Here is a 23,114-nt window from a genome sequence, read left to right on the forward strand (position 1 = left end):
TAATCCCAGCTACTAGGGAGGCTGAGGCAGGAGAATTACTTGAATCCAGGAGGTAGAGGTTGCAGTGAGCCGAGATTGTGCCACTGTACTCCAGCCTGGGTGACAGAATGGCAACTGTGTCTCAAAAAAAAAAAAAAAGTTATTTCTTTATTGTGTACAGTGAGCATGTGTATCTGAAAAAGAAACAATAGTGCTACATAGGTGTGGAGAAAAAAGAAGAGAAATGTTCTTGGATACATACAATCTCAGAGCAGGGGAGGTGCCTGGAGAACTTCCCACCAGGCCTCTGACCACCTGGAGGGTAGTTCACACACAAATGCCCAGCCCAGCCCAGCAATTCGGGGTCTGCAAAGTCTTGGGTGAGGGCTGAGAACTTGCGTTTCTTCTTTTTCTTTCTTTCTTTCTTTTTCTTCCTTCCTTCCTTCCTTCTTTCTTTCTTTCTCTTTCTCTCTCTTTCTCTCTCTCTCTTTCTCCCTTTCTTTCTTTTCTTTTCTTTTCTTTCCTTTTCTTCTCTCTTCTTTTCTTTCAATATCTGGCTTTTTTGCCCAGGCTGGTCTCAGACAGACTAGACTCCTGGGCTCAAGTGATCCTCCCACCTTGGCCTCCCAACGTACTGGGATTATAGGCGTGAGCTGCAGCACCTAGCTGGAACTTCATTTTGAACAATTTCCAGGTTATGCTGATGCTGCTGGCTGGGGGACCTCATTTTGGGAAGTGCTGCTCTAGACTAACCTAGTGCACACACAAGAAGACAAAGGTCAGAGATGGTGCAGACTTGCCCCCGGTTATGGGGGCTTGGCTCTACTGTGTGCTCCTTCCAGGCCCTGCTCCTCATTCCCTGACTGACACATCCACTCCCATCTGTCCACACCAGCCCCACCACACTGGCCTCACAGAGCCTGTTGTGCTCAGCTACCAGGGCTGGGCAGGGTGCATTGCCCTTCTGGAAACATGGGAACTTCATAGCTGGAAGGGTGGGGTGAGCGAACTTGAGGCAGCTTTCAGCCAGCAGTTCAAACTATGAATTATTTCAGTACAAAGTGAGATCATCCTTCAAAAACTCCCCCACCCACCGACGACCCCCATGTCCATCTCCAGCACGAGCTCCCTTAGGGCCCCTACACCGAGCATGTCTGCACGGAGCTATGGCCAGCTCCTTTACACAGATGGCTGTCTTGTTCTGCCATCTGCTGTATAAGCTGACAGCATGTTGTGGGTCCTTTTCCTGTCAGTCCAACTGCATCTCTCTTGTTACTTTTTTCTTTCTTTTTTTTTTTGAGAGAGGGTCTCACTTTGTTGCCCAGGCTGGAGTGCAGTGTTGCGATCACAGTTCACTACAGCCTCAACCTCCCAGACTCAGGCATTCTTCCCGCCCAGCCTTCTGAATAGCTGGAACTACAGGCACACGCCACCACACCCGGGCAATTTTTTAAATTTTACTTTGTAGAGGAGGCCGGGCACAGTGGCTCATGCCTGTAATACTAGCACTTTGGGAGGCCAAGGCAGGCATATCACCTGAGGTCAGGAGTTTGAGACCAGCTTGGCCAACGTGGTGCAATTCCATCTCTGCTGAAAATACAAAAATTACCCAGACATGATGGTATGCTCCTATAGTCCCAGCTACTCAGGAGGCTGAGGCAGGAGAATCGCTTGAACCCGGAAAGTGGAGGTTGCAGTGAGCCGAGATTGCACCACTGCACTCCAGCCTGGGCAACAAAGCGAGACTCCGTCTCGAAAAAAAAAAAAGAGGGTCTCCCTACTGTTGCCTGGGCTGGTCTCAAACTCCTGGATTCAAGAGATCCTCTCGCCTTGGCCTCCTAGAGTGCTAAGATTACAGGCGCCCAGCCTCTTGTTACTTTAAATGACTGCTAGGATTGTGCTGTGCCAAGCATCCTAATTCATTTAACCAGCTGCCCTTTGGGTGTAATTTGTGCTGGTAAGAAAGGTGCTTAGCCAGGGTGTGGAGAACTCCCAAGTATGGTATCAACTGCTGAATCAATTCCACAAACTTAGCACTGACCATGGACTTGGGAGTGAGAGAAGGGGTGAAGTCTGAGATGTGGAGCTGGGAAACAAGACCCCTGCTGACAGGGCCAGCGCAGTGAGAACCTCCTGACAAAGGAGGGAGACAACATGTGACAGGCTGTTCCCTGGGGTTTTCGGGGGCCCTCCAGAGCAACCGATTTATGTCCTCCCCTCCAGGCAAGGCCATGCTTACCTAAAACCTGGCCATCTGAAGTCAAGTTCACAGAGGTGCTGTATGCTGCCAGGCCGCTGCAAGAAGGTCAGGGCAAAGGCTTAGCCAGGGACGAAGCTTCTTTCATCTGCCCAGCCCACAGCCACCCCAGAGAGGCCCCTGATAGCCTCCTCCTGCCTCTCTATATTCAACCCCATCCTGTGTCCCACATGTCTGTCCTCCCCAGCAGAAGGCCCTCCCAAGCTTACCCTTTGGGACATTTGATGTTGGGCCGGTCGTTCAGGAACCAGGGAAGATACTTATGGAACTGCTCCACCGAGGGCCTCACAGAGCCCATCGTGATGCTCATGCAGTTCTTTAGGCAGTTCAGAGAGTCTGCAGAGAAAGCAGGGGTCTGGGCAGTGACACCCCAGGGCCAGCAGCTCCTGCTTTGTGCCCCTCCTTCCCCAACAATCCCATCAAAGGTCCTGGGCACTCCAGCCTCAACCAGTCGCTTCTAGGGGGATTTGCATTTGTCATTTGTGGGAGAAGTTCTCCTCTTGGCTATAGAAACTGTGGGCACCTACAGGCAGAAGGGGAAAGGAAGTTTGGGGCAGAAAAACAGGCCCCACAAAGGCCTCTCCACCTACAAATGCCACTGCTTTGGGCGGCAGGGCCATGTGCTAACCTCAGCAGCTCTCCCCTCCTGACTCCCCACTGCCCTGCCACCCGGGAGCACCATGTGCTCTGAAAATGGGGGCACAGTACACAGCAGTATACATGTGTGATGCCCACGGGCCAGCACGGTCACCCACACAGGTGCTTCTCACAGAGTGCCTGTCCCTCAGGCCACATCTGCACCCATGCCCCCGACAGACCCTGCAGGATGCGTGGGAGAGGTTGAGGGAGCCTCTCCAGTCCTCTCCTTTCTGTTGCCTCAGTTTGCCCGAGCTGTGGTGGACAGTGAGTCCCCATGGCCCCACACTCACTGACGGTCGAGGGGCAGAACTTGTCCTTATTGGGGCCAGATATATAAAGGCGGCAGCAGGAGGACGGGGTCAGCCAGTCAATGAAGTCATCCACCCAGGAGGAGGCAGGGATGGCCAGGTAAGACCTAAGGGGCAGGTGGGAGGAAGGGTGAAAAGGCCAGCTGGGCAGGGTGGTGGGTCCTTCTCGTGGCCCAACCCCCACGCAGCCCTCCCCAGGCATACGGCAGCAAGGCAGCAGGGCAGCAGGACAGGGATAGAACATCAGGAAGAGGGGACTGGAGAGGACTGGAGGGACTCAAACAGGGAGTAGGCTGGGGTTTGGGGCGGGCCAGGAACTCACTGCTCAGGGAACTCTGTGGCATACTGGATCTTCTGGGTGAAGGAGAAGTTGTTGCAGCCTGCACTGGAGCAGATGGCATTCATCCCAGCCTCGCTGGAGAAGTTGTAGCCCAAGGTGGTAACAAAGTACACCGGGGCCCCCACCTCGAAGTAGCGGTTCAGAAAGAGGAAATAGTCAAGCAGGTACGAGTCCTAGGAGTGGAGGAGGGTCAGTGAGCTTTGGTTCGCTATGCACACCCCTAAAGGGCTCAATCCAGCTCACACTCTCGAAGGTACACACAGAGGTACATGCTAAAAGGCACATGTTCAGAGGTCCATGATCAGAGGAACACACAGAGGAACATGTTCAGAGACACACATGCAGTTACACACTCAAAGGGATGTGCTCAGTGGGACACTCAGAGATATACACGTAGATACATGCTTAGAGGTACACAGAGGTACATGCACACAAGTACACAAAATATACACAGAGATGTACATGCTCAGAGGTCACACACAAGGTACATATAGAGAAGGACATGCACAGACACACACACTCAGGGGTACCCTCAAGATGTATGTGCACTGTACAGTTACACCGGAACACAGTTTTAGGTGTACCCCCAGATGAACATACTCCAAGGTTCACAGAATAGGTATAATCACAGGTGCAAACAGAAGTACACTTATGCAGGTACAAACACAGAGCAACACCTATCACCTCACATGAACACACACTGACACACACAAACATGCACAGACACATAATTGTACCCCTTCCTATCACCCCCAATATGGCACAGCCACCGTCTAACAAGCTGGCCTGTGACAACGGCCCATATTTGTGTGCACATATAAATGTCAGTGTGCACACCCTCAAAGCCATGCACCAGGCATCCTCATGGTCTGCTCCCTTCTATAACATAAAGGCTCAGAGTGACATTAGGGAAAATGGCACAGTAGGAAGTGTCAGGAATCCCTCTCCCCAGCTAGACAACAATTTGTCTGGTATAACTATTTTGTTTTTGTTTTGTTTTGTTTTGTTTTGAGATGGATGGAGTCTTCTGGGCTGGAGTGCAGTGGCGCGATCTCTGCTCACTGCAACCTCCGCCTCCTGGGTTCAAGCGATTCTTGTGCCTCAGCCTCCTGAGTAGCTAGGATTACAGGCATGTGCCACCGCTCCCAGCTGATTTTTGTATTTTTAAAAGAGATGGGGTTTCACCATGTTGGCCAGGCTTGTCTCAAACTCCTGACCTCAAGTGATCCACCCGTCTCGGCCTCCCAAATGGCTGGGATTACAGGCATGAGCCACCACACCGGCCCTAGTGTAACGATTTTGGAACTCTGGAGTCTATTGAGGGCTGGAAGCTTCCAGGATAAGGCTTGGACAGTAAATTGTGGTTAATTTCAGGCAATCTCAGCTTTAGTACAGTAGCAGCTACCCATTTGCCACTCCCAGCCTCAAGGCATGCAGCTGTGTATGCTTTCCAGAAGCAGCTTGTACACAGCTTGCAGGAGCCAGGTAGGCAAGGACACCATCCACCAAATATCAGCTGGGCATGATGGCTTACACTTGTAATTTCAGAACTTTGGGAGGGCAAGCAGGAGGGTCACTTGAGCCCAAGAGTGGGAGACCGATCTGGGCACATAGCGACACCCTGTCTCTACAAAAAAAAATACAAAAGTTAGCTGGGTGTGGTGGCACATGCCTGTAGTCCTAGCTACTCAGGAGGCTGAAATAGGAGAATCATTTGAGCCTGGAAGTTTGCTGCTGCAGTGACCTATGATTGCACCACTGCACTTCAGCCTCAGCAAGAGAGCCAGACCCTGTCTCTAATAAATAAATAAATAAGTTCAAATATCAAGGATCTGAGTTCTGATAATTGATCATTACTTCTGATATTGGTGGTACAGATACACAGGCAGGCAGCCACTAATGCAACTCCCACCACCGTTGTTGCAACCACCTCCACATCTTACTAAAGTGACTTCCAGGAGATTTAAAGAGTAAGCACCTATCCCCGACACCTTCATTTTTCCCTTTTTCTCCTTTTGGGAACCATACATATAAGGACAAGGACATTCAAAAGCAACCATAAATATAGGGATATTTAGACAGTCACCACACTGCATAAATGCTCAGAGAAAAATGCAGTCTCAAAAATACCTGAGAAGACATTAACTCTGTGCCTTTGGCTGATCCCCAGCACAGAAACACCAACAGCAATAAATAAAATAAAGCAAGCCCTGGGAAAGAAGGAGAATCTGATCTCCAGAGCTACCACATTATAAGAATCAAATGTCCATTTTTCAACCAAAAACACACCAAGAAAAAGAAAAACATGGCCCATTCAAAGGGAAAATATTAACCAACAGAAACTGTTCCTGGGTAAGACCAGACAGCAGACTTACTAGACAAAGACTTCAAAACAATTGTCTCAGCCAGGCACAGTGGCTGATGCCTGTAATCCCACAACATCAGAAGGCCAAGGCAGGCAGATCACATGAGGCCAGGAGTTCGAGACCAGCCTGGCTAATATGGTGAAACCCTGTCTCTACTAAAAATACAAAAATTAGCCAAGCATGGTGGCAGGCACCTGTAATCCCAGCTACTTGGGAGGCTGAGGCTTAACCCCAGGAGGCAGAGGTTGCAGTGACCCGAGATCACACCATTGCACTCCAGCCTGGGTGATAGAGCAAGACTCTGTCTCAAAAAATAAATAAATAAATAATAAAATAAATGAATAAAACAATTGCCTTAAAGTTGCTCAAAGAGCTAAAAGAAAACAAAGTCAAGGAAAAATTTATGAACAAAATGGAAATATCAATGAGGAGGAAACATAAAAAAGAGCAAAAAAACTCTGGAGCTAAAAAGTACAGTAACTTAAATGAAAAATTCACTAGAGGGATTCAAAAGCAGTCAGAAGAAAGAATTAGCAAACTGAAGATAAGACCATTGAAATTACTGAGTCTGAAGAAGAGAAAGGAAAAAAAATAACGAAAGTGAACAGAGCAGAGCCTAAGGGACCTGTCAGACATCATCATCATCAAATAGACCAAAATATGAATTGTAAGAATTCCAGAAGAAAAGAGAAAGGGGAAGTGAGATTATTTGAAAAAATTATGGCCAGAACTCCCCAAATTTGATGAAAGACATGAATATAAACATTCAAGAAACTCAATAAACTCCAATAGGATAAACTAAAGAAACCCACACCAACGGATATTATAATTTTTTTTTTTTGAGATGGAGTCTTGCTCTGTTGCCAGGCTGGAGTGCAGTGGCACAATCTCGGCTCACTGCAACCTCTGCCTCCTGGGTTCAAGTGATTCTCCTGCCTCAGCCTCCCAAGTATCTTGGACTACAAGTGCGCACAACCATGCCCAGCTAATTTTTGTATTTTTAGTAGAGATGGGGTTTCACCATGTTGGCCAGGATGGTCTTGATCTCTTGACCTTGTGATCCACCCACCTTGGCCTCCCAAAGTGCTGGGATTACAGGCATAAGCCACTGCACCCAGCTGGATATTATAATTTAGCTGTCAAAAACCAAAGACAAGCCAGGCATGGTGGCATATACCTGTAGTCCCAGCTACTCAAGAGGCTGAGGTGGGAGGATTGCTTGAGCCCAGGGTTTCAAGTCCATTCTAGGCAACATAGCAAGACCCTGCCTCTAAAAAATAAAAATAAAAAGTAAAATAAAATAAGTTTTTTAAAAAATAGAAAATATTGAAAAAAAAGAAGTGACTTGGCATATACAAAAGATCCTCAAAAAGATTATCAGCATATTTCTCATCAGAAACCTTGAAGCCCAGATGGCAGTGGGTTTGTAGATTGAAAGTGCTGAAGAATGCTGGGCATGATGGCTCATGCCTGTAATCCCAGCACTTCAGGAGGCTGAGGCAGGTGGATCACCTGAGGTCAGGAGTTTGAGACCAGCCTGGCCAACATGGCAAAACCCCATCTCTACTGAAAATACAAAAATTAGCCAGGCATGGTGGCACAAACCTGTAATCCCAGCTACTCAGGAGGATGAAGCAGGAGAATCACTTGAACCTGAGAAGCAGAGGTTGCAGTGAGCTGAGATCATGCCACTGCACTCCAGCCTGGATGACAGAGTGAGACTCTGTCTCAAAAACAAACAACAACAACAAAAAACAAGTGCTGAAGAAAAAACAATTGTCAATGAAGAATCCTAATTCCAGCAAAACTGTCACTTAAAAATGAGGGAGAAGGCCAGGCATGGTGGCTCATGCCTGTAATCCCAGCACTTTGGGAGGCCGAGGCAGACAGATTATTTGAGGCCAGGAGTTTGAGACCAGCTTGACTAACATGGTGAGACCCCATCTCTGCTAAAAATACAAAAATTAGCCAGGCGTGGAGGCATGCACCTGTAATCCCAGCTACTTTGGAGGCTGAGGTAGTAGAATCTCTTGAACCTGGGAGGTGGAGGTTGCAGTGAGCCGAGATCACACCACCGCACTCCAATCTGGGTGACAGTGAGACTCCATCTCAAAAAAAAAAAAAAAAAACTAAAAATTAAAAATAAAAATGAGGGAGATGCCAGATGAGGTGATTCGTCCTATAATCCCAATACTTTGGGAGGCTGAGACACGAGGATCACCTGAGCCCAAAAGTTCGAGACCAGCCTGAGTAACACAGTGAGACCCCCATCTCAAAAAAATTGTTTTAATTAAAAAATAAAAATGGGCCGGGCACAGTGGCTCACACCTGTAATCCTAGCACTTTGGGAGGCCAAGGTGGGTGGATCACCTGAGGTCAGGAGTTCATGACCAGCCTGGCCAACATGGTAAAACCCCGTCTCTATTAAAAATACAAAAATTAGCCTGGCATGGTGGCATGCACCTGTAATCTCAGCTACTCAGGAGGCTGAGGCAGGAGAATCACTTGAACCCAGGAGGCAGAGGTTGCAGTGAGCTGAGATCACACCATTGTACTCCAGCCTGGGCGACAAGAGTGAAACTCCATCTCAAAATAAATAAAAAATTTTAAAAAATTAAAATGAGGGTGAAATTAAGACATTCTCAGATAAACAAAAGCTGAAGGAATTCGTTATCACTAGACCTTCCCTGAAAGAAATGCTAAAAGGAATCCTGTAGGTTGAAATAAAAAGACATTAGACAGGCCAGGCATGGTGGCTCATGCCTGTAATCCCAGCACTTTGGGAGGCCAAGGCGGGCAGATCACCTGAGGTTGGGAGTTCAAGACCAGCCTGACCAACATGGAGAAACCCCATCTCTACTAAAAATACAAAATTAGCCTGGCGTGGTGGCACATGCCTGTAATCCCAGTACTCGGGGGGCTGAGGCAGGAGAATCGCTTGAACTCGGGAGGCAGAGGTTGCGGTGAGCTGAGATCATGCCACTGCACTCCAGCCTGGGTGGGCAACAAGAGCAAAACAACTTCTCAAAAAAAAAAAAAAAAAAAAAAAAAGACATCAGCAGTAACTCAAAGATGTATGAAGAAATAAAAATCCCTTGGCTAGGCATAGTGGCTTACACCTGTAATCCCAGTACTTCAGGTGGCTGAGGTGAGAGGATCTTTTGAGGCCAGGAGTTTGAGGTTATAGTGAGCTATGATCACACCACTGCATCTCAGCCTGGGCAACAGAGCAAGACTCTGCCTCTTTAAATAAATAAATAAATCCCTGGCAAAGGTAAATAAATGGGCAGTTATAAATGTTATGATTTATAACTCCACCTTTTTGTACATGATTTAAGAGACTCATGCAAAAAAAATCATTAGCCTATGATTTTGGATACATAATGCATAAAAATACAAAAGTTTTTGAGACATAGTCTCGCTCTGTCGCCCAAGCTGGAGTACAGTGGTACGATCCCAGCTCACTGCAACCTCTACCTCCTAGATTCAAGCAATTCTCATGTCTCAGCCTCCCAAGTAGCTAGGTTTACAGTTGTGTGCCACCATGCCTGGCTAATTTTTGTATTTTTAGTAGAGATGGGGTTTTGTCATGTTGGCCAGGCTAATCTTGACCTCCTGGCCTCAAGTGATCCAACCACCTCACAAAGTGCTGGGATTGCAGCCATGAGCCACTACACCCAGCTGAAAAATAAAATTTTTTGAGACAAGGTGTCTCTCTGTTGCTCAGGCTGGAGTACAGTGGCATGATCATAGCTGACTGCATACTTGAATTCCTGGACTCAAGCAAGCCTCCCACATAGCTGGGACTACAGGCACGTGCCATCTTGCCCAGCTAAATTTTAAATTTTTTCTAGAGATGGGATCTCACTGTGTTGGCTAGGCTGGCCTCAAATTCCTGGCCTCAAGCAATCCTCTTGCCTCCACCTCTCAAAGCATTGGGATTACAGGCATAAGCCACCATGGCTAGCTCAAGATATAATTTTGTGACATCAATAACTGAAAGGGAGGTAAGATGGAGTTGTTATAGGGCAGAGTTTTTGTATGCTATGGAAACAAAGTTGGCATAAATTTAGAGTGTTATAACTTCAGCACATTTAAGATAATCCCCATGGTAATCACAAATAAAATTAGCTGTAGACTATGCACAAAAGAAAATGAGAAGGAAAATGTAAAATTTCACTAGTAGCAATCAACTAAGCACAAAATAAGTCAGTAATGCAGGAAATGAGAAACAAAAAATCTACAAGGCATATAGAAAACAAATAGCAAAATGACAGAAGTAAATCCCTCCTTATCAATAATTACTGTAAATGTAAATGGATTAAACTCTCCAATCAAAAGAGAGTAGTAGGACCAGGCATGGTGGCTCACGCCTGTAATCCCAGCACTTTGGGAAGCCGAGGTGGGTGGATTACTCAAAGTCAGGAGTTTGAGGCCAGCCTGGCCAACATGGTGAAACCCTGTCTCTACAAAAAATACAAAAAAATTAGCCAGGCATGGTGGCATGCACCTATAATCCCAGCTACTCAGGAGGCTGAGGCAGGAGAATTGCTTGAACCCGGGAGGTGTAAGTTGCAGTGAGCTGAGATCGCTCCACTGCACTCCAGCCTGGGTGACAGACTGAGGCTCCATCTCAAAAAAAAAAAAGAAAAAAAAGAGTGGTAGAATGAATTAAACACACACACACACACACACACACACACACACACACACACACACACACACACACGATCGAGATTGTGAGAGTCAGCATACTGTGCCCTAGGCAGCCCCCATCTGCTAAAAAACAGCAAAACGTGATCTAACTATATGCTGTCTCCAAGAGACTCACCTTAGGTCCAAAAACACAAATAGATTGAAAGTGGAAGAACAGAAAAAAGATATTCCATGTAAATAGTAACCAAAAGAGAATAGGGGTAGCTATACTAAGATCAGACAAAATATACTTTTTTTTTTTTTTTGAGACGAATCCTCACTCTGTTACCCAGGCTGGAGTGCAATGGCGTGATCTCAGTTTACCACAACCTCTGCCTCCCAGGTTCAAGTGATTCTCCTGCCTCAGCCTCCTGAGTAGCTGGGATTACAGGCATGTGCCACCATGCCCAGTTAACTTTGTATTTTTAGTAGAGATGGGGTTTCTCCATGTTGGTCAAGCTGGTCTCAAACTCCTGACCTCAGGTGATCTGCCTGCCTCAGCCTCCCAAAGTGCTGGGATTACAGGAGTGAGCCACCACTCCCAGCCAAAAAAATAAATATTGTATGAGTTCACTTACCTGAGGTGCCTAGAGTGGTCAAACTCATAGAACAGAAAGTAAATGGGCCGGGCACAGTGGTTCATGCCTGTAATCCCAGCACTTTGGGAGGGCAAAGCAGGCAGATCACAAGGTCCAGAGTTCGAGACCAGCCTGGCCAACATGGCGAAACCCTGTCTCTACTAAAAGTACAAAAATTAGCTGGGAGTGGTGGCACACGGCTGTAGTCCCAGCTACTCAGGAGGTTGAGTCAGGAGAATCGCTTGAACCTGGGAGGTGGAGGCTGCAGTAAGCCGAGTCTGCACCATTGCACTCCAGCCTGGGTGACAGAGCAAGACTCCATCTCAAAAAAAAAAAGAAAAAGTAGAGGCCAGGTGCGGTGGCTCACACCTGTAATCCCAGCACTTTGGGAGGCCAGGGCTGGTGGATCACCTGAGGTCAGAAGTTCAAGACCAGCCAGGCCAACATGGTGAAACCCTGTCTCTACTAAAAATACAAAAATTAGCTGGGCGTGGTGGCGGCCACCTGTAATCCCAGTTACTTGGGAGGCTGAGGCAGGAGAATCACTTGAACCCGGGAGGCGGAGATTGCGGTGAGCCGAGATCACACCATTGCACTCCAGCCTGGGCAACAAGAGTGAAACTCTGTTTCAAAATAAATAAATAAATAAAAGGTGGTTGTGTCAGGGGCTGAGGGGAGGGGAGAATGGGGAGTCACTGTTTGTTGGGTAAAGTTTCAATTTTGCAAAAAGGAAAGAGTTTTGGAGATGGATGGTGGTGATAGTTGAATAGTATGAGTGTACTTAATATCACTGAACTGTACACTTAAAAATGGTTATAATGGTAATTTTCTATTATGTGTATTTTACCACAATAAAAAACGGAAAAAAAATGATAAAATTTTTAAAAGCAGTAAGAAACAAATGTCCCCAACAGAAAAATAAACAAAAGACATCAACATAAAACCTCAGCAGGGTCTGGCAGCCCATCACATCCTTCCTTCTTGCTCTTGGGGCACTAGAGACCCTCTTCACCTCAGCCCTGTGACATAGCCCCCAGGGCTTCTGCAGGTGGCAGGTTCATTCTGTGACTCCTCACCTGCTCTCCCTCCATAAAGTCACCCAAAGTACAGTCCTGAGCCATCTGCTCTTGTCCTCCCTCACCTGGCTTCCAGGACCCCAGGCCAGTACTGCCTAACACACCTACCCCAGCCGCACCCCACTCAGCCCTGTTGTGGGCTCAGGCCTGGCTGCTTCCACTGGGGCTCCTGCCAGTACCCAGACCCTTGCCCAAACCTCCATCACAGTTCCCCAGATGGGACCTAGACATCGAGTCCCCTCGATGCCTTCCCTCTCCCTAGAGCTTGCTCATGCAGTCTGACCATGTGTCTCAGACTTTGTTGTCTGTGGCTGCTTCCTCTTGGCCACCAGCCCATGGCCACCGCTGATGCATATCCAGAGGAGCCGGGTCCCCAGCCTTGGCTGATGCATTGTGCCTGTTGGCCCGCACACTTACTGGTCCAGGCTGGGCAATCAGCACTCTCCCCGACCATGCCCTTGGCCTCCAGCTCATCCCACCCCCACAGTCGCTGCCACGCCCAGGAAACACACCTGGGCTCACCCTAGCCTCCCACTGGCGAGTCTGTCATCACTTTCCTCTGCAAATCCTATGTGACCTTGGAGGTCCCCTCCAACCACGGGGCTTTCCTTCCCCTGAACCCCTGCCCTCCCCGGGCTTCAGGCCCAGAGAATTCGCAGGGCTGGACACTGGGCAGGCACTCAGCAAAGTGGCAGTCATTCTTTGTGGCCTGCCATCTCACATGGACAGCCCTCCGATGCCTGGGCCATCTCTCTTACTGTGGCCTGGGGCTGGCACCTGGCTGTTGTGCTGTTCATACACGAATGTGGCTTCACTCCCCAGGACTGCTGGAGGTGCCTCCAGAGTAATGAACAATTCTGCACCTCTGGCCAAGCCCCTGGCCGGAGGACCCCCCAACCCATCCCTGCTGGTTGCTACTGCCCCTCCCCAAATCCCAGGGGCCTAAGGGTTGAGAAGGGCCTGGGCTCACCTTGGGCAGGGCCAGCTCCTGGTCCAGTCCCACGCTGATGTGGCACATGGAGTAGAGGCTCACTCCGAACAGGGCGAGAAACAGCAGCAGCTGAGAAGGGACCTGCTGCATGAGACCACCCTGCCCAACAGCCGTCCCCCATCTCCCCACAAATTTAAGTCAGTCAGGGTGTCATGGGCAACATTCTGGAGTTGAGCAGACTTGCGTGCCAGCCCCAAGTATCAGCATTTGGGCCTAGGCAACCTCCCCACCTCCAACCCTGCTCTCCCTGAGGCGAGGTCCCCACCTAGTGCCCCTGCTCTCGTGTGGTTCGAGGCCCACTCACCACAACACCTCGAGTGATCCAGTGCAGCAGGAAGGGGGCATAAGCCTTTTGGAAGAAGCCAAGCAGGAGCCCCTCTCCCTGGCCAGGCGGGGGCAGCTCCTGGGGCTTGACACAGCAGCAGACGTCCAACCGGGAGGCCTGGAGTGGGAGGCACCCCCTCAAGGTAGTCCCAGAGCAGACAAGGCCCCAGGGACCACCTTCTTGCCCCCAGGGAGTGTCACCTTCTGTGGGTGGCCCGTGCCAGTGCCCTCATGGAGACATACCAGTGTGCTGTTTTCTTTGCTTTTATTTTAATCTTGATAAAATATCTTTAAATTTTACACCATCATGGGAACCAACAGATCAACTCCTGTCGACCTCTCATTTATACAGCTGACCCTTGAACAACACGAGTTTGAACTGCCTGGGCTCACTTATCCCTGGATTCTCTTCCACCTCTGCCGCCCCTGAAACAGCAAGATCAAGCCCTCCTCTTCCTCCTCTTCCTCAGCCTACTCAACCTGAAGACGACGAGGATGAAGACCCTCATGATGATCCACTTTCACTTCGTGAATAGTAAATAGATTTTCTCTTCCTTATGATTTTCTTACTAACATTTTCTTTTTTCTTGCTTCCTTTATTGTAAGAATACAGTTTATAATACATATAACATTCAAAAGATGTGTTATCGACTATTTATGTTATCATTAAGGCTTCCAGTCAATAGTAGGCTAGTAGGAATTAAGTTTAGAAGGGTCAAATGTTACATGCAGACCAGGCATGGTGGCTCACGCCAGCACTTTGGGAGGCCAAGGTGGGCAGATCACCTGAGGTCAGGAGTTCGAGACCAACCTGACCAACATGGTGAAACCCCATCTCTATTAAAAACACAAAAATTAGCCAGGCGTGCAGGAGGAGGGGGCCTGTAATCCCAGTAATTGGGAGGCTGAGGCAGGAGAATCGCTTGAACCCGGGAGGCAGAGGTTGTGGTGAGCTGATATCACGCCATTGCACTCCAGCCTGGGTGACAGAGTGAAACTCCGTCTCAAAAAAAAAAAAAGTTACATGCAGATTTTCAACTGCTTAGACAGTCGGTGCCCTAATCTCCACATTGTTCAAGGGTCAACTGTATTTTATTTCTCAACATCATGCACTTTAGGAGGTTTGATTATATTTAAAAAATTGTCAAAACAAATTTATTTTTCTGTAGGAAATTGGAGAATACATGGCCTAAATATTACTCTCCTGGCACAATGCCCCTGTCCCCCACCCCATTCTCTGGGCCATCTCTGTGGTGGTAAAGCCACCCCATCTCCCTGCCATGGTGGGAACCCAGGGGCAGGTCCCTCAGTACTGGCCCAGCTGCCCCTACCTCCTGCCTCTTGCTGTCCAGGGAGAGCAGGGCCACAAAGGCTGACATCTGCAGGAGGAAGTCAAGGATCACTGCAAGGCCAGAGGTCAGGGCAAAGGTCCGCACAGCTGGCATGGGGGTCAGGGCCCCTGTGAGGGAGCAGAGGGCTGTCAGGGCACCCTGGCTTCAAGGGCAGAGTGGTAGCCGACATTGACAGGGTGCAGGGGGAAGGGAATCTGCACTATACCCACTGCCCTCTGGGAACTCCTAGGCCCCGGCACTAACCCAGCAAGCCTAATGCCGAGTGGGGAGGTCTCACCCAGGCTCACCTAGGAAGAAGCAGATGGCCTCAGAGAGGCTGCACAACAGCATGCTGGGAGCCACCCTGCCTAGGGCTCGCCCAATGTGGACCTCTCGTGGCTCCCCAGGCCTCCGGGGCAGCCTCTGTGTGGGAACAGCAGGGATAAGAGCCAGGGCCCTCCAAGGGCACCGCCCCTCAAAGGCCAGCAGGGAGTTGGCAAGTGCCCAGAGCTGCAGCCAGGCCTGAGGAGCTGCTCTGACCTTCCTGAATCATCAGAGACTCTCATACTCTCCATGGCCAATATTCTTCTTCCAGGGTCTGGCTGGGAGAAATGGTTGGTGCATTTGAGATGTCTATAGCATCCCTGTTCCAAGCACTGTTGGAACCCTAATTGTTCACCAACAGGGAGAGGTGAAATCGACTCTGATTTATCCTTACCATGGAATGCTACCTAGCAGCATAAAGACAGGAGGAGGCTGTAATGTACTAACATGGAGAGGTTTTACTAGACATTGCAAGGGGTTAACAGAAAGCTAATTCCAGATGGTAGAGGCAGGATGAAGTCATTTATGTCAACACACTCTAGTTTCTACAGATATTGTAAACATGCGTGTCGATGAACAGAAAGAGTCTGCAGGGAGACCCAGCAAATTCACGCCAGAGTCCCATCAGGCCAGGAGGTGAGGTTGGGAGAAGAGTGGGCAGTTGGGGGTGTGGAGAGCTCCTCCCTTCTTACCTGGTACTCGAGAACAAAGATGAAGATGTTATCAGCCCCCACGGACAGCACCAGGAAAGGAACCACTTGCAGGATGACCAGGGAGGAGCGGATACCCAAGTAGGAGAAGAAGCCCATGGCAGCCATGACTGCTCCCAGGACCACGGCCACCCCGCCGAGGCCCAGCGTGGCCTTGGAGTCCACCTGCAATGCAAACAGGCTCAGCCCCCTAGCCACTTAGCACCTACCCAGTATGCCCACCAGCCTCAGCTAGGCCAGACAAAGTAGCCGGCAGGCACCCTCAGTGCCTGCAGGTGCCCGATACTGCCCCCAGTGGTGAGGAGCTCACATCTCACATTAAAGCCCCTCTGCAGAGCCATCCTCCCAAGGGGAGGTCCAGGAAACCCAAAGGCATGGGTGAGCCTACTCCATCTTCCTTGAGCATGCATTGCAAGAGATTTTAAGTCTTAGCTTTGCATTTGGGCAAGTGAGGGTATGGCATGTAACAGACAGAAAACTGCTCTTAGGCCAGGTGTGCTGGCTCACACCTGTAATCTCAACATTTTGGGAGGCTGATGAGGAAGAATCACTTGAGCCCAGGAGTTTGAGACCAGCCTAGGCAAAAAGCGAGACCCCATCTCTACAAAAACTACAAAACAAAAAAAATGGCCGGACGTGGTAGCTCACGCATGTAATCCCAGCACTTTGGGTGGGCGGATCACCTGAGGCCAGGAGTTCAAGACCAGTCTGACCAACATGGAGAAACCCCATCTCTACTAAAAACACAAAATTAGCCAGGCGTGGTGACACATGCCTGTAATGCCAGCTACTCGGGAGGCTGAGGCAGGACAATTGTTGAACCCAGGAGGCGGAGGTTGCAGTGAGCCGAGATCGCGCCGTTACACTGCAGCCTGGGCAACAAGAGCAAAGCTCTGTCTCAAAAAAAAAAAAAAAATAGCTGGGCACAATGGCAAGTGCCTATAGTCCCAACTACTTGGGAGGCTGAAGCAGGAGGATCACTTGTGCCCAGGAGTTTTGAGGTTGCAGTGAGCTAAGATCATGCCACTGCACTCCAGCCTGGGCAACAGAGCAAGACCCTGTCTCAAAAGAAAGAAAGAGAGAAAAAGAGAAACAGAGAGAGAAAGAAAAGAAAGAGAAAGAGAGGGTAGGAGGGAAAAGAGAAGAGAAAAGAAAAGCAAAGAAAAGAGAAGAAAAAGAAAGGAAAAGAAAAGAAAATTGCTCTTGACCTTTCAGCACAGAACACTTGCAAGAGGTATTACCCTTTGGGGCAGCCACTTGGGTGTGTCCACTTTGCTGTTCTGAGGTGCTGTGGTTAGGAAAGTTGTAGAAGGCCTACTGAAGATGCCTGGGGTCCTGGGCTAGCCCACTTAGCTGTGTCCCTCCCGCTTCTCACCATCACTCGGCTCCAGCTGGAATAGCTGCCCAGGGCCAGAGAGATGTACAGGAATATGACAATGTAGCTGGTGGCAAAGATGGGCAGGTCTTCAGCTGTGGTGCGATTGATCTCGTCTTCCAGAGAGCGCTGTGGACACACACCCGACCAGCCCCCACTGACCGTGCCTGCTTCAGCCAGGCCAGCTCTCAATAGCTCGGTCACTGGGCACTAATTGTGTGTTGTGTCATAGGGCCTGATGGCCCCCTATAATCGCAGGTGAGGCTATAAGAACAGCCATCACAATCACCCCGTTCTGAGCAGGCAGCCACTGCCCAGGGTCACTTAGGAAGGGCCAGGGCCAGGATGGGGACACAGGAACTGACCCAAGACCACCTGGGTTGCACCCCCAGAGCCAGGGACCCTGCAGCCCCTACCTCAGCCATGAACGTGACCTGGAACATGCCAGCCATCCGACGCTGGAAGGCTCGCATTTCCTCTAAGAAGGCCTCCTCCCACAGCTTGGCCTGGGCCAGACGGGGGTCCCCGGCAGGGTAATTGTTGAGGGAGAACGTCATGATCAGGGCCTCTGCCTCAGAATAGTCCTTTCCTGGGATAAGAAATACTCAGACCCTTCCTGCTGCACCCGTGCCTCCCTCCCCCTCCAGCTGCACCCCTATATTCCCTCCCCCTATCTAGCTGCACCCCTCCCATCACCCCTTGCTCCTTCTCCCCCACTCCTTCCTCATCTGATACATGGCCTTACCTCCTACACCCCACTTCTCTCAGCCAAAGGCGAGACCTTTGGGCCCAGGCAGAAAAACCACAGTGCCTGAGTAACACTACTAGAAGATAAAGGAGATGGCAGAGAGAGGAAACAGGACAGGGTTGGCCTACAGCTTCCAGAAGCCAGGCTACCCCCAGGCCGCGAGAATCCCCAGCACCACTCCCACCCTCCCGTCTATGGTTCCTGCCCCAATACTGCATCTTCCTTGGCTTCCTCTCAGGGCCCACTTAGCTTACCTTTGTACCCCCCAATGGCAAGGAAGGGGAAGACAGGGGCCCCGTAGTCAGCCATGCAGCTCAGGGCCAGGGCTGTGCCATCCTTGAAGGTGAGCGGGGCACTAGAGGGAGATGACCGCAAAGGGAAAGGGCCTTTCCTGGCCCTGCCCAGTCCCTATGGCCCCTCCCTTCCCCTCCCACCCCAGACCCACAGCACTATGGAGGGTGAGCTGGTGGGGTGGGGGACACTGGCTGCAGATAGCCCAGCTATCTGCATTTAGGCCATTTAGCTATTTAGGACCCAGCCGAGTGGGTCCTAAATGGCTCCCATCCAGCAAGATCTCCTGCAGGCCCCCACCCACGGAGTGAGTTGGAGCTGCCCTGAGTGCCTTCTCTGTGGCAGGCAGGGGCTGCTCCGGGACCTGTCCCTCTGAGCCTCTCATGTCTCCACACACTGGCCTGACCTTCCTGGCTCTGACATTATCTGACTCTGGATTGAGCGTCACACCTGAAGTCCCGTGAGGGTGGAAGAGCTGGGATTTGAGCCATGGGGTCTGGCATGGGCTGTCTCAAACGTTGCCCTCTCAGCCTCCTTCTCCTGCCTAGGGCCCCCGAAACCCTTTAGGTATTGAGGTTAGATTTGGAACCCTGGAGCCCAGCAGCCAATGTTTTCACAGTTTACTAGACTGGTGCCCTCAGGCAAGTCTGTAGGTCCTTCAGCTTAGCCCTTTCTGCAAAGCCCGTCATTGCGAAGATGCAGTGGGACACCTGAGCAAAGCTCTCTACCCCCCTCTCTCAGATCTCAGCAAGCGAGTGCTGGTTGCTGTGTGACCTTGAGCAGCTTACCACACCCCTCTGAACCTCAGTTTTCCTGTCTGTAAAATGGAGATAATTGGACCACCCGAGAGTTGTTGTGAGCATCCGAAGTCAAAATAAAGATAATACCCTATAATGGACTATAAAGCTACCGTCAGACATGAGTCTGAGGTCAGACCATGATGCCTCCCCAGAGCAAACAATGGCTCCTCTCGTTCCTGCTATTTCCAAGAGAGAGCCCTTGGGTTCCTGGCACAGACACTCTGGGAAGCAGCCCAAACTTGGGGCCCAGCTGAGGGATGCAGAGCCAGGTAGCAGGGGACAGAAAGTGTCGGCACTCTCTTCCAATCCAGTGGTTCTCAAAGTGTGGCCTGGGGCCCTTAGGCGTCCTGGAGACCCTTTCCAGGGTCTGTAAGGTCAGAACTGTTTTCATAATAACACTAAGATGCTATTTGCCCCTTTTAACTCTCATTTGCTCTGGAGTATGGAGTACTAAACGTTCATCTTGAGGACCTCTGCTCTACTCCAACCTCAAGGAGCCTCCACTGCCAAGGCCCTGCTGCTGCCCTTGGCTCTTGGCCCCCTTGGCCCAGCAGCGTTGTTGGCATCTTGTTGGCAGCACACCAGAGTGGACAGAACCAAAGACCGAACCCCAATCAATAGAAGTGTGTGTGGCTGTGGCCTACCCCAGGACACCCGGCCCAGGTGCCTGAGACCAGCCACGACCTCTGGCCTGAGGGCACCTTTTCCAATGCATACCATGGTACCTCATGGGTTACTGATGGCCCTACGGCCCCTGGCACAGAAACAAGAAGCAAAACATAGCAAATATAAATATGTACTCTGCCAATCGGGCTCCTCTGTCAGACTTAAAGCAAGAGTGTGGCAGGGAGCTCCCACATGTCAAGAAATCTGCAGAAAGACAGAGTGGACTCGGGGTTGAAGGGCCAGCGATGGCCACGCACAAACCTGCAGCCATGAGCAGGAACTCTGACCAAAGGAAATGGCGGCCGGACGAGGGGCAGAGATAATCATCTGGGCGGCCCCAGGCCAGAGCCGTAGGAATAGCTACCTCTGGTCCTTCAGGACCAGCTGTATGCCCGGCCAGGTTCCCAGGAGGCCATGGCAGCCCAGCCCCAGCCCCAGCCCACTCCTCGCTTGGGCCCCACCATGGACTCACTTGGCACAGTACAGAAAATGGTCCTTCCAGTCGACTTGGGAGGTCTGCCCCATCAGTGTCTGGTTGGCTGTGAGCAGCAGGAGCGTGCGGTTGTTCTGGAAATACTGCAGGAGGCTGTTGATGCAGCAGTCGTAGAGACTGGTATTGTCCGGATTGAGGGGGGCGTAGCAGATGTCCTGCAGGGAGATGTTGCGCTGTGCTTCGGGCGACCATACCTGGAGGTGCCGCAGCCTCTCCTGCAGCTCTAGCAGCTCCAGCAGCAAGTCCAGGTCCAGGATTCCGCTGAAGTTCTTGGGCCCCAGCAGCAGAGAGTCATACCTGTAGCTGGACCGGTTAGGAGCCGTCAGGATCACCTGGTTGGTTCGGAAGAAGGGGCCGAAATGCTGGTCATGGAAAGCTTTCTCACTCCGGGCTTGGCTGTTGGGGGCCGACCACAGCTCCACGGGGTCCGTAGTGAGTTCTGTAAAGACCAGGCCCGCTGCCAAGGCCACCACCGGGATGACAGATAGCACCAAGATGGTCAGAGGCCACGAAGCCACCCACGTGCCCCAGCCCTGGAAGAACTGGCCAAGGAGGGTGTGGGTGGAGAAGCTGAGCTTGTCAGAGAGGCTGGTGCCCTTCTTGGGGTCCACCATCTTGCTTTTGTCCCTGGCGGGGGCCACACGGAATCCCACAAGCAGGATGGTGACCACAGCGAAGACAGAGCAGAGGATGATGATGAGGACCAGACTGCCCGGCATCTGGCCCAGGTAGAAGGTGGAGTCGAGGGCCTGGGGGCGGGCTATGGCAGGACAGGATGCAGCACAGTCTTGGCAGGAGCAGGTCGCCACGTCGTCACCTTGGGACTCATTGCAACGTGCAACCCCCTCATTCAGAGGCTGAATCCCACTCCCCACGGCCTGGCCAGGCTCCAAGAGGTGGAAGGTGATGTCCAGTGGGGCCAGACCATTGCCTGTGTCTCCCTGGAAGTTGAGCCAGCGCTGGGCATTGCAAAGGGCAGAGCCATACACGCCACACATGGTGCCCACAGCCAGCGTGGCAGCTGCAGGGACGCGCACACGGCTGCAGGAGTCATAGCTCTGCTCGGCAAAGCTATGCTGGTAGAAGGCCTCATAGGCCACCACAGCTGGGAGTTGTCCAGCCCCTAGCTGGGCCACGCGGGTCACATTGATGAAGAGGCTCTGATTGGGGCTGCACGTGTTGTGGCAGTGCAGGTTCACAAAATTGTCAGAGCAGGCTGGGCAGCGGGTGAGGAGGGCCTTGGTGATCGACAGACTCGCTTCCAGTGATACCAGCTGCTTGGCGGAGCAGCAGGCTTGGGTGTTGGGGCCGGTGTAGAGGCGGGGGCAGATCTTCTGTAATAGGATCAGGTGATCACCTGTGATCTTGCGGGCCGGCGTGTTGGACAGGCAGGACACGTTGGAGAGTGTCATGAGGCTTCCAGACAGCTCTGGGTTCTTCCCACATTCGTCATAGAAGGCGCAGTAGCCAGGCTGGTGGATGGTTGTGTAAGGCTCACTCTGGGCCTGCAGAGCACAGCAACATCACGCGTGGGCCCTGACACAGCTGGGTGCCATCCAGGCAGCAGGCAGCCAGGGAGGGTGTGAGGGTAAGAAGGACATGGAGCAGGGGCAGGGAAGCGGGGAGTGTGGGGAGTAGGAAGCCTCCTGGAGGCATGTGCCAGCCAGCCAGTGTTGGAGTGACAACACTGGCCTTTCTTCCTGGGGGTGGCCTGATAGACCTGCAGCTTAGGAAAGTCATGCTGGAGAGGCCAGAGATGGGTAAGGAGGCAAAGCTGACTCCAAGGTCCCGGGCTCTGCCCACGTCAAAGTCAGCCTGAGTCCCCACACTGTACACCACATCCAGAGGCCAGGGTCTCTCATGGAGAGTCTGTTCAGGAGGCCCCCCGACTCCCACCACCACTACCACCACCTGCTTGAGGCCAAAAGCTGTCACCCACCTCCCAGACACAAAGTAAGCGAGGAACTTAAGAGGTGCCAGCGCTGGATCTTCTCCCAGCCTCCAGAGTGCTCAGTCCTCCCTAGGTGATGCTCACCAGGTAACCCCATCCCAGCACCTCCTTGCCTCAGACCTCCCTCAACTGCAGGCCTGGACCCCACAGTAGGGCCAGTGACAGGAGGGACTTGGAGCACCCCAGTCCAGCAGCCTCTTTCACCCCTGTGTGCATTCAAGCCTGTAACCTGGAAACCCTCCACCTGCACCCCTCCTCTGTGGGGCCTGGCATCCCTCATGTGTCCAGAGACTTGCCCAGCCCGCAGGCCCTGAGGCTCCCTTGCTGTCACCCAGTAACGCTCGCCTGGTACACGGCTGGCCCCAGGGTCCCTAACTGGAGGCCGCAGGGGAGGTGGAGCCAAGCCCTGGGACTCACCAAGCGCAGGAGCAGGGCCCACAGCAGCCAGCCCCTCAGGCCGGCCTCCGCCATCCCAGGTCTGGGAAGGGGTCAGCGGGGAGCCAGGCCAGGCCTCAGGAACAGCCAAGGGCTGAACACACATTAAGGCAGCCTCCTCCCCTTCGATGACAACCCTGGCCTGACTGGGTTAGGGACCAATGAGGCTGAGCCCTGCTGGTTAATGATCCACCACTCCCACTGTTTGGCCCCAGTCCACAGGCCCCCGCTTTAGATGAGCCTCATCACGCAGGTGCTAGGGTCTCCACTCACTTCCCAAAGCGACCGAAGCCAGAGGGCTGAGTCAGCTAGGGGAGAGACCACGCTATTAGCCCCTAACACTGCTGGAGTTGGTGCCAGGGCCTGGAGGCACAGATGGGACCAGGCACTGGCTGGGACCCGGCCTCAGGAGCTCAGCATGGCCGAGGAACCTCCGC

The 23,114-nt window shown here is 51.5% G+C and overlaps 1 protein-coding gene across 6 annotated transcripts in view, besides 2 other annotated features; it reads right to left on the reverse strand.

The window, feature by feature from the left end:
* Positions 1-22,784, reverse strand: part of NPC1L1 (NPC1 like intracellular cholesterol transporter 1) — a 28,796-nt gene extending 6,012 nt beyond the window's left edge. Inside the window, exons 1-15 of one of the 6 annotated variants that reach the window (NM_013389.3) lie at positions 22,660-22,784; positions 20,271-21,796; positions 18,296-18,396; positions 17,710-17,882; positions 17,294-17,422; positions 15,901-16,083; positions 15,193-15,307; positions 14,885-15,012; positions 13,534-13,671; positions 13,209-13,298; positions 3,506-3,696; positions 3,166-3,290; positions 2,446-2,572; positions 2,219-2,274; positions 40-120 (exon numbers count right to left, since the gene is read on the reverse strand). In NM_013389.3, coding sequence (NP_037521.2) covers positions 40-120; positions 2,219-2,274; positions 2,446-2,572; positions 3,166-3,290; positions 3,506-3,696; positions 13,209-13,298; positions 13,534-13,671; positions 14,885-15,012; positions 15,193-15,307; positions 15,901-16,083; positions 17,294-17,422; positions 17,710-17,882; positions 18,296-18,396; positions 20,271-21,796; positions 22,660-22,713 — 3,217 coding nt within the window. In that variant the 5' untranslated portion in view covers positions 22,714-22,784. Of the gene's footprint in view, positions 1-39; positions 121-2,218; positions 2,275-2,445; positions 2,573-3,165; positions 3,291-3,505; positions 3,697-13,208; positions 13,299-13,533; positions 13,672-14,680; positions 15,013-15,192; positions 15,308-15,900; positions 16,084-17,293; positions 17,423-17,709; positions 17,883-18,295; positions 18,397-20,270; positions 21,797-22,659 lie in introns of those variants that run through there. The other 5 variants (NM_001101648.2, XM_011515326.4, XM_011515328.3 and 2 more) reach the window with 5 other exon arrangements.
* Positions 16,074-16,143: an enhancer, noted in NCBI's record as "active region_25941". NCBI's record gives its function as "activates an Ori minimal core promoter by ATAC-STARR-seq in GM12878 lymphoblastoid cells {active_cell/tissue: GM12878}" and the evidence as "EXISTENCE:reporter gene assay evidence [ECO:0000049][PMID:35858748]".
* Positions 21,456-22,077: an enhancer, noted in NCBI's record as "H3K4me1 hESC enhancer chr7:44579601-44580222 (GRCh37/hg19 assembly coordinates)". NCBI's record gives its function as "activates a minimal SCP1, AML or CMV promoter by ChIP-STARR-seq in naive and primed H9 embryonic stem cells {active_cell/tissue: H9 hESC(naive and primed)}" and the evidence as "EXISTENCE:reporter gene assay evidence [ECO:0000049][PMID:30033119]".

Source organism: Homo sapiens, chromosome 7 (assembly GCF_000001405.40).
Source record: "Homo sapiens chromosome 7, GRCh38.p14 Primary Assembly".
Classification (NCBI taxonomy): Eukaryota; Metazoa; Chordata; class Mammalia; order Primates; family Hominidae; genus Homo; species Homo sapiens.